The sequence below is a fragment of the Homo sapiens genome, chromosome 3 (assembly GCF_000001405.40).
Source record: "Homo sapiens chromosome 3, GRCh38.p14 Primary Assembly".
In the NCBI taxonomy this organism is placed as follows: Eukaryota; Metazoa; Chordata; class Mammalia; order Primates; family Hominidae; genus Homo; species Homo sapiens.
In genome coordinates, this window is record NC_000003.12 from 12,665,436 (window position 1) to 12,675,341 (window position 9,906).

The 9,906-nt window shown below is 47.6% G+C and overlaps 1 pseudogene, besides 3 other annotated features; it reads left to right on the forward strand.

Annotated features, from left to right (window-relative positions):
• Positions 4,958 to 5,539: an enhancer, noted in NCBI's record as "H3K27ac-H3K4me1 hESC enhancer chr3:12711892-12712473 (GRCh37/hg19 assembly coordinates)". NCBI's record gives its function as "activates a minimal SCP1, AML or CMV promoter by ChIP-STARR-seq in primed H9 embryonic stem cells {active_cell/tissue: H9 hESC(primed)}" and the evidence as "EXISTENCE:reporter gene assay evidence [ECO:0000049][PMID:30033119]".
• Positions 5,540 to 6,120: an enhancer, noted in NCBI's record as "H3K27ac-H3K4me1 hESC enhancer chr3:12712474-12713054 (GRCh37/hg19 assembly coordinates)". NCBI's record gives its function as "activates a minimal SCP1, AML or CMV promoter by ChIP-STARR-seq in primed H9 embryonic stem cells {active_cell/tissue: H9 hESC(primed)}" and the evidence as "EXISTENCE:reporter gene assay evidence [ECO:0000049][PMID:30033119]".
• On the forward strand, positions 8,264 to 8,448 carry CRIP1P1 (cysteine rich protein 1 pseudogene 1; annotated as a pseudogene).
• Positions 8,441 to 9,310: an enhancer, noted in NCBI's record as "NANOG-H3K27ac-H3K4me1 hESC enhancer chr3:12715375-12716244 (GRCh37/hg19 assembly coordinates)". NCBI's record gives its function as "activates a minimal SCP1, AML or CMV promoter by ChIP-STARR-seq in naive and primed H9 embryonic stem cells {active_cell/tissue: H9 hESC(naive and primed)}" and the evidence as "EXISTENCE:reporter gene assay evidence [ECO:0000049][PMID:30033119]".

The following is a 9,906-nucleotide window of genomic DNA, read 5'->3' on the forward strand; positions in this document are numbered from 1 at the left end:
AGCCTGGGCAACAAGAGCGAAACTCTTGTCTCAAAAAAAAAAAAAAAAAAGACATGGCTGGGCGTGGTGGCTCACGCCTGTAATCCCAGCACTTTGGGAGGCCGAGGCGGGCAGATCACTTGAGGTCATGAGTTTGAGACCAGCCTGGCCAACATGGTGAAACCTGTCTCTGCTAAAAAATACAAAACAAATAGGCCGGGTGCGGTGGCTCACACATGTAATCCCAGCACTTTGGGAGGCCGAGGCGGGCAGATCACGAAGTCAGGAGATCGAGACCATCCTGGCTAACACAGTAAAACCCCGTCTCTACTAAAAATACAAAAGATTAGCCGGGTGTGGTGGCGGGCCCCTGTAGTCCCAGCTACTCAGGAGGCTGAGGCAGGAGAATGGCATGAACCCGGGAGGCGGAGCTTGCAGTGAGCTGAGATCGCGCCACTGCACTCCAGCCTGGACAACAGAGTGAGACTCCGCCTAAAAAAAAAAAAAAAAAAATTGGCCAGGTGTGGTGGTGCGCGTCTGTAATCCCAGCTACTCAGGAGGCTGAGGCAGGAGAATCACTTGAACCCAGTAGGCAGAGGTTGCAGTGAGCCGAGATAGCGCCACTGCACTCCAGCCTAGGTGACAGAGCCAGACTCTGTCGCAAAAAAAGGAAAAAAAAAGCCATTAAGTTAAAAAAGCAGAACATAATGTATGATCTTATTTACGCAAACACAGGAACACAAGATACCTACCTAATACTACAGAATGCCATGTGCACTATTACTTTTCGATATTGAGAGCCTATTAGGTACCACACATTATTTTGGATATTGGAAAATTAACAGTAATCAAAATCCCTGCCATCTAGTAATGGGAGATTAAAAGAAAATATAAATAATAAAATTCAGGTTGGATGTGGTGGCCAAAGCCTCTAATCCCAGCACTTTGAGAGGCCAAGGAAGGGGGGTCACTTCAGCCCAGATGTTGAAGACCAGCCTGAGCAACATGAGACCCCATCTCTACCAAAAAAAAAAAAGAAAAGAAAATTAGTGTGCATGGTGACATGCTCCTGTAATCCAGCTAGGGAGGAGGCTGAGGCTGGAGGATCACTTGGAGTTGGGGATGGCATAAGCTATGATTGCCTCACTGCACTCCAGCCTGGACAACATAGCAAGCCCCCGTCTCTTAAAAAAGAAGAAGAAAGGAAAAGTGAAGCAAAGTGAGAATGACAGGAGTATGTGGACCAACGTAAAAATAAATGTAGGAGAAAGACTGGCCAGGCGCGGTCGCTCACGCTTGTAATCCCAGCCCTTTGGGAGGCCGAGGCAGGCAGATCACAAGGTCAAGAAATAGAGACCCTCCTGGCTAACACGGTGAAACCCGGTCTCTACTAAAAATAAAAAAAATAAAAAAATTTTTAAAAAAGCCGGGCGCGGTGGCTCACGCCTGTAATCCCAGCACTTTGGGAGGCCAAGGCAGGCGGATCACGAGGTCAGGAGATCGAGACCATCCTGGCTAACACGGTGAAATCCCATCTCTACTAAAAATACAAAAAATTAGCCGGGTGTGGTGGCGGGTGCCTGTAGTCCCGGCTACTCGGAAGGCTGAGGCAGGAGAATGGCGTGAACCCAGGAGGCAGAGCTTACAGTGAGCCAAGATGGCGCCACTGCACTCCGTCTGCCTGGGCGACAGAGCGAAACTCCGTCTCAAAAAAAAAAAAAAAAAAAAGAAAGACTAGAAGGTGTGGAATGTGGATAGCATGAGGGGGATTTTTAAAATGGGAATAATAGGCCAGGCACGGTGGCTCATGCCTGTAATCCCAGCACTTTGGGAAGCTGAGGCAGGCAGATCACCTGAGGTTGGGAGTTCGAGACCAGCCTGACCAACATGGAGAAACCCCATGTCTACTAAAAATACAAAATTAGCCGGGCATGGTGGCCTGTAATCTCAGCTACTCGGGAGGCTGAGGCAGGAGAACTGCTTGAACCTGGGAGGCAGAAGTTGCAGCGAGCGGAGATTGTGCCATTGCACTTTGGCTTGGGCAACAAGGGTGAAACTCCGTCTCAATAAATAAATAAATAAATAATAAATAAAATAAAATGGGAATAATAACACTTTCCTTGCAGGATTAAATGAGATAAAACCTGGAGAGCACTTAGTGCAGAGCCTGGTGGTTGAGACTTCAGTGCCTAGAGTCTGACTTGCCTGGGTTCAAATTTGGACTCTGCCATTTCCTTATCTGTGACTTGGAGAACTCATTTAAACTTCTCAATTCTTCCATTCCCTCATCTATAATGGAAATGTGATGATACTACCTCTTAGAGTTGTAAGGATTTAGTAAGTTTTAGACGTAAAGTACTTGGAACAGTGCCTTCCTCATATTAAGCATTGTAGAAGTGTTAGCTGTAATTACTAGAGCTATCTCCCTCTTTTTCTAAAATAACACTGGTTTACAAGGAAACCAAAGAAGTCAATATTATAACTATCTCTAATTATCATTATCATTATTACTTGAGGCAGAGTTTCGAAGCCACACTTGCTGACCTTCTGATTATTCCTTCCTTCAGCATCCCCAGCTGATATTTGCCCAGCACTTTACATCTTAGAAATTTAAGGTGGCTCACGCCTGTAATCCCAGCACTTTGGGAGGCCGAGGCGGGCGGATCACGAGGTCAGGAGATCGAGACCATCCCGGCTAACACGGTGAAACCCCGTCTCTACTAAAAATACAAAAAATTAGCCGGGCGTAGTGGCGGGCGCCTGTAGTCCCAGCTACTCGGGAGGCTGAGGCAGGAGAATGGCGTGAACCCGGGAGGCGGAGCTTGCAGTGAGCCGAGATCGCGCCACTGCACTCCAGCCTGGGCGACAGAGCGAGACTCCGTCTCAAAAAAAAAAAAAAAAAAAAAAAAGAAATTTAAGGAGCCTGTGCCTCATTCAAACTTTTCAGCTCACCTGGAAGAATGGCTACTTCATTTTTTAAAAAATTTATTGAGGTGAAATGAACCATTTTAAACTGAACATTTAGTGGCATTTAGTACATTCAGTCTTTTACAGCCACCACCCCTAGTTCCAAAACATTTCCATTACTCCAAAGTAAAACCCCTTACCCATCAAGCAGTTTCTTCCCCATCCCCTGAACGTCTGGCAATCACCAATATGCATTCTGTCACTATGGATTTTTCTATTCTGGATATTACATAAAAATGGACTCACACAATATGTGGCCTTTTGTGACTGACTTCTTTCACCTGGCATAATGTTTTCAAGGTTCATCCACATGGTAGCATGTGTCAGTACTTTATTCATTTTCATGGCTGAATAATATCCCATTGTAAGTTTATGCCACATTTTGTTTATCCATTCATCTGTTGGTGGACATTTGGGCTGTTTCCATTTTTTGGGCATCGTGTGTGCTAAAACATGTGTGTTACATGCTGGGTTGCATATCCCCTACTTTAGATACCTCTGGTTTGGTGGTAGGAGAGGTCAAGTGTGCTAAAGTTATTAGGAAAGGTCTCAGAAGAGTAATAGGAGGAAGGAATGAGTCTGAAATGGTTTGAAGGAAGAATAGACATGCCCATGATGTCAGATCAGAGGAGGAAAATAGGCCGGGCGCAGTGGCTCACGCTTGTAATCCCAACACTTTGGGAGGCTGAGGCAGGCAGATCATCTGAGGTCAGGAGTTTAAGACCAGCCTGGCCAACATGACAAAATCCCATCTCTACTAAAAATACAAAAATTAGCTGGGCATGGTGGCGCATGCTTGTAGTCCCAGCTACTCTGTAGGCTGAGGCACAAGAATTGCTTGAACCGGGGAGTTGGAGGTTGCAGTGAGCCAAGATTGTGCCACTGCACTCCAGCCTGGGCGACAGAGGGAGACCCTGTCTCAAAAAAAAAAAAAAAAAAAAAAGATGTACCGTTGGCCAGGCATGGTGGCTCACGCCTGTAATCCCAGCACTTTGGGAGGCCGAGGCGGGTGGATCATGAGGTCAGGAGATCGAGACCATCCTGGCTAACACAGTGAAACCCCGTCTCTACTAAACAAAATACAAAAAATTAGCTGGGCGTGGTGGCGGATGCCTGTAGTCCCAGCTACTCCGGAGGCTGAGGCAGGAGAATGGCGTGAACCCAGGAGGCGGGGCTTGCAGTGAGCCAAGATCACACCACTGTACTCCAGCCTGGGCTACAGAGCGAGACTCCATCTCAAAAAACAAAAAAGAAAAGAAAAAGTAAAGATGTACAGTAAGGTCTTTATGCTTGGCAAAAAGGGTACATTTTTCAGATGAAGGAAAGAAAAAATAACGGCCATTTATGGAATGTCTTCACGTATCAGGCATTTTTACAGTTTCCAATACACAACCCATGAGAGGCCTCATCTTCACATGAGGAGAGGGTAAGTAATTTGTCCTAAGACACAAATCTGGTGGTAAGTAGTGGAGCAAGGATTTGGATCTATTTTGTTTGTTCATTCCTCATTCAGTTAATAAAAATTTCTTGGTGGACTGGTGGCTCACACCTGTAATCCCAGCAATTCAGGAGGCCAAAGTGAGAGAACCACTTGAGACCAGGAGTTTGAGACCAGCCTGGACTACATCGTGAGACTCCATTTCTATCAAAAATTTTTAAAATTAGCCAGGGGTGGTGGCACATTCCTGTAGTTCTAGCTTCCTGGGAGGCTGAGGCAGGAGGATCAGCTGAGCCCAGGAATTAGAGGCTGCAGTCAGCTATGATCATGCCACTGCACTCCAGCTTGTCTGAAAAAAGCTAAAATTGGCCGCTTGCAGTGGCTCATGCCTGTAATCCCAGGACTTTGGGAGGCCGAGGCGGGTGGATCACCTGAGTTCGGGAGTTCGAGACTAGCCTGACCAACATGGAGAAACCCCATCTCTGCTAAAAGTACAAAATTATCCAGATATGGAGGCACATGCCTGTAATCCCAGCTACTAGGGAGGCTGAGGCAGGAGAATCGCTTGAACCCGGGAGGCAGAGGTTGCGGTGAGTCGAGATCGTGCCATTGCACTCCAGCCTGGGCAACAAGAGCGAAACTCCGTTCACAAAAAAAAAAAAAAAGCTAAAATTAAATTTTTTTAATACTTAATATATGCCAGGCCCTGTGTTAGAGCTGGGCCTATAGCAGTAAACAAGGCAAAGTCCCTGTATGTACTCAAGGACTTTAAGCTCTAGCAGGGGAGACAAGCAGCAAACAAGTAAATGAATAATATGATAATTAGGGTTGTGGCAAATCAATGAAGGGAATTGCTGGAGAATGACAGAATGGGAAGAGGGTGTGCCTTTAGATTCAGTAGTCAAGGAAGGCCTGTCTCAGGAGGTGATAGTTAAGCTGGGCACGAAAGGATGAAAAAGAGCCAGAGGAAGAGCATTCTAAGCAGTTGGAACAGCATGTATAAGGGCCATGAAGTGAGACAGGAGTGCAGGCCAGTGTGGTTAGAGCACAGAAAACTGGGGGAGCAGATGAGGCTGAGGACAGAGGGTGGAGTCATATTCAGTCTGACTCCCAAACCTGTGACCTTTCCATGCCATCCTGCCCTGCAGGGACTTTGAAGTGTGGGGCTGGCCTGGGCTGGGTGCTGGGAGAGACAGAGCCATGTAAACAAACAGTTGCCCCAGCAGGTGACGCAAATGTGCTCTCATGGATAACTGTGCGAGGGGCACCAAGAGGAGGGAGGCAGTGACCAGAGACAACATATAAGCTATCTTAAAGGATGAGTGGAATTGTAACCATAATAGGTCCTTTATCCGGTGCACGTGGCAAGTCAATTCACCACATTGCAGCAGTGAAAGAGGTTTATTTCTAGGGATGCTGAACCAGGAGATGGGAGGAAACCTCAAATCCGTCTCCACAGAGTTTGGGGCTAGGGTTTTCAGGGGTTTGGGAATCAGCCAAAGTGTGGAGATCCTTGATTGCTCAAAGGGCACAGGGCAAAGTCATGGAACAGGGAGATGAAGAAACTGTATTCTCATGCTGATTCCATTCCTCTGTAGGGGTCAGTGGGTCTTCAGACTATTTGAGGTCAGCTGTCTTGCTGGAATTCAGGATCTAAAAAACATCTTAAGAAATTCTTAAACAAAAACCTTATGATTCTAATGTCAGAGATTCTACCTATCTTAAATAAAAGGCTTATTATTCTAGCATCAGAAAGCTGATCTATAGGCCAGGTGTGGTGGCGGCTCACACTTGTAATCCTAGCACTTTGGGAGGCTGAGGTGGGAGGACCTCTTAGCCCAAGAGTTCAAGACCATTCTGGGCAACATAGGGAGACCCCTGTCTCTACAAAAAAATTTAAAAATTAGCGAGGTGTGGTAGCCTACACCTGTAGACTGGGCTACTCAGGAAGTTGAGGCGGGAGGATTGCTTGAGTGTGGGAGGTCAAGACTGCAGTGAGCCATGATTGTACCACTGCACTCCAGCCTGGGTGACAGAGTGAGACCTTGTCAAAAAAAAAAAAAAAAACCTATCTGTAGGAACAATGGGGATGCAAATGGTCAGTATCTAGTGCCCTGTAATTTTCAGTTACAAGAAAGTGGGTCAAAGTGCAGCCTAAGTAATGCTTAATTATAACTATTAATATATTTTTGTCCAAAATTCTTGTTAATCCTGTGAGGACAACTTCAGAATGTTCCAGACTGAGAAGGGAAGGAGTGCAGGGCAAGAGGTGGGAACAGTATGGGCAAAGGCATAGAGGTGTGATTAGCATAAGTTTGGGAAACAGCAAGCAGGTCTCTGAGGTTGGAGATCGCCTTCCTGGGGCAGACGGCATGGAGAGAATGATGAAGGGGAATCCTAGAGGGGCAAAAGATACCTGGCCCAGTGTCAATCCCCCTCATGCCATAATGGGCAGCCCATGATGGAGGGTGAGGGCCTGGTTGCTGGGGTGGCAACCACAATATATGCTATGGTGTCATTTGCAGGAAAGCCTAGTACAGCCATCTTGGAAAACAATTAAAAATTAAGACCTGGGCTCTCTCATAAATTACTGGGGTGCATATACATTGGAACAATCGGCCAGGCATGGTGGCTCACGCCTGTAATCCCAGCACCTTGGGAGGCCGAGGTGGGTGGATCACCTGAGGTCTGGAATTCAAGACCAGCCTGGCCAACATGGTGAAATCCCATCTCTACAAAAATACCAAAAAAAAAAAAAAGCCAGGCATGATGGCAGGTGCCTGTAATCCCAGTTACTCGGGAGGCTGAGGCGGAAGAATCGCTTGATCCCGGGAGGCGGAGATTGCAGTGAGCTGAGATTGTGCTATTGCACTCCAGCCTGGGTGACAGAGCGAGACTCCGTCTCAAAAAAAAAAAAATTGGAACAATCTCTATGGAAGGTAATTTGGCAATATCAAAATTATAAATGCATGTATATTTTGTGCTAGAAATTCTTCTCCTGGGAATTTATCCTACAGATATACTTGTAAAGGTGTGAAATTATGTCCAAACAGGTTATTCCTTGCCACATTGCAATTGCTTGTAATCTTTTTTTTTTTTTTTTTGAGACGGAGTCTCGCTCTGTCGCTAGTCTGGAGTGCAATGGCGCCATCTCGGCTCACTGCAACCTCCGACTCCCTGGTTCAAGCGATTTTCCTGCCTCACCCTCCCGAGTAGCTGGGATTACAGGCACATGCCACCACACCCAGCTAATTTTTTTTTTTTTTTGGATTTTTCGTAGACACGGGGTTTCATCATGTTGGCAAGGATGGTCTCAAACTCCTGACCTCGTGATCCACCGGCCTCGGCCTCCCAAAGTGCTGGGATTACATGCATGAGCCGGGCACGGTGGCCCACCACCTCCCCCACCACCTCCATGGCTCACCTCTAGAGGAAGGTTGCCCACAGCATTCCCTCACAATTCACATGTGAGTCTCGCACTAATAGTCCACTCCTGCTGCAGCCACAGCTGCCTGCACCGGACCCAGTGCTGCCATCCCCAAGCGCTCTAAGTGCAACAAGAAGGTGTACTTGGCTGGGTGAGGTGGCTCATGCCTGTAATCCCAGCACTTTGGGAGGCCAAGGCGGGTGAATCACCTGAGGTCAGGAGTTCAAGAGCACCCTGGCCAACATGGCGAAACCCTGTCTCTACTAAAAATGCAAAAATTAGCCGGGCATAGTGGCACACACCTGTAGTCCCAGCTACTCGGGAGGCTGAAGCAGGAGAATTGCTTGAACCCGGGAGACGGAGGTTGCAGTGAGCTGAGATCACGCCACTGCACTCCAGCCTTGGGGACAGAGCAAGGCTGTGTCTCAAAAAAATAAATAAATAAAATGGTCTTTGCTGAACAGGTGACCTCCCAGGGCAAGGACTGGCATTGACCTTGCCTCAAGTGTGGAAGTGTGGAAAGACACCGACCTCCAAGGGCCACCCGGAGCATGAAGGCAAGCCCTATTGCAACCACCTCTGCTATTTCGCTGTGTTCAGGCCCAAAAGCTTTGGGCGAGGTGAAGCTGAGAGTCACATTTCAAGTAAACCCAAATGGTGGAGACCTCATCTGGGCCACTGTCCAGGCTGATGTCAGGCTATATCCCAGACACTCAAGGCTTCCTTGTAGCTCCTCATGGCCTCAATAAACCTGAACACTTGGGGGTGGGAGGGGGAAGACTCACTTGCTCTGAGCCCTGGAAACACCTCAGGGCTGAAGACCCACCTTCAATAGGAGCCCTATTATGCCATATTCCTACTTTAGCAGTGTGGGGAAAAGAAAGAGAGATCAGACTGTTACTGTGTCTATGTACAAAGAAGTAGACATAAGAGACTCCATTTTGTTCTGTACTAAGAAAAATTCTTCTGCCTTGAGATGCTGTTAATCTGTAACCCTACCCCCAACCCTGTGCTCACAGAAACATGTGCTGTGTCGACTCAAGGTTTAATGGATTTAGGGCTATGCAGGATGTGCTTTGTTAAACAAATGCTTGAAGGCAGCATGCTTGTTAAAAGTCATCACCACTCCCTAATCTCAAGTATCCAGGGACACAAAACACTGCGGAAGGCCGCAGGGACCTCTGCCTAGGAAAGCCAGGTATTGTCCAAGGTTTCTCCCCATGTGATAGCCTGAGATATGGCCTTGTGGGAAGGGAAAGACCCGACCGTCCCCCAGCCCGACACCCTTTAAAGGGTCTGTGCTGAGGAGAATTAGTAAGAGGAAGGCCTCTTTGCAGTTGAGATAAGAGGAAGGCATCTGTCTCCTGCATGTGCCTGGGCAATGGAATGTCTCGGTGTAAAACCCGATTGTATTATTCCATCTACTGATATAGGAGAAAACCGCCTTACGGCTGGAGGTGAGACATGCTGGCAGCAATACTGCTCTTTAATGCACCGAGATGTTTATGTATGTGCACATCAAAGCACAGCACCTTTTTCTTAACCTTGTTTATGACACAGAGACATTTGTTCACATGTTTTCCTGCTGACCCTCTCCCCACTATTACCCTATTGTCCTGCCACATCCCCCTCTCCGAGATGGTAGAGATAATGATCAATAAATACTGAGGGAACTCAGAGACCTATGCCAGCGTGGTCCTCTGTATGCTGAGCGCCGGTCCCCTGGGCCCACTTTTCTTTCTCTATACTTTGTCTCTGTGTCTCTTTCTTTTCTCAGTCTCTCATCCCAACCGACGAGAAACACCCACAGGTGTGGAGGGGCAGGCCACCCCTTCATCCAGCTCCTGAGGAGAACATGCATTTTCTCCTTGATAAGCCCAATCCCTCCTCTCTCTTCTGCACAGAGGGGCTGGCCTGGACTCTGGAGTCAGACAGCTGGGAGACCAAACCCCAGCCTGCCCCTCATCCCTGTGATTCTTGGCCTCTCCCTCAGGTCAAGTAGGAAACACTTGCCTTCAAGCCTTGCTGGGAGGAAACAAAACTGGAAAGCACAGTCCCTAGCACACAGTAGGAGCGCAGAAAGCGCGGCTCCTCC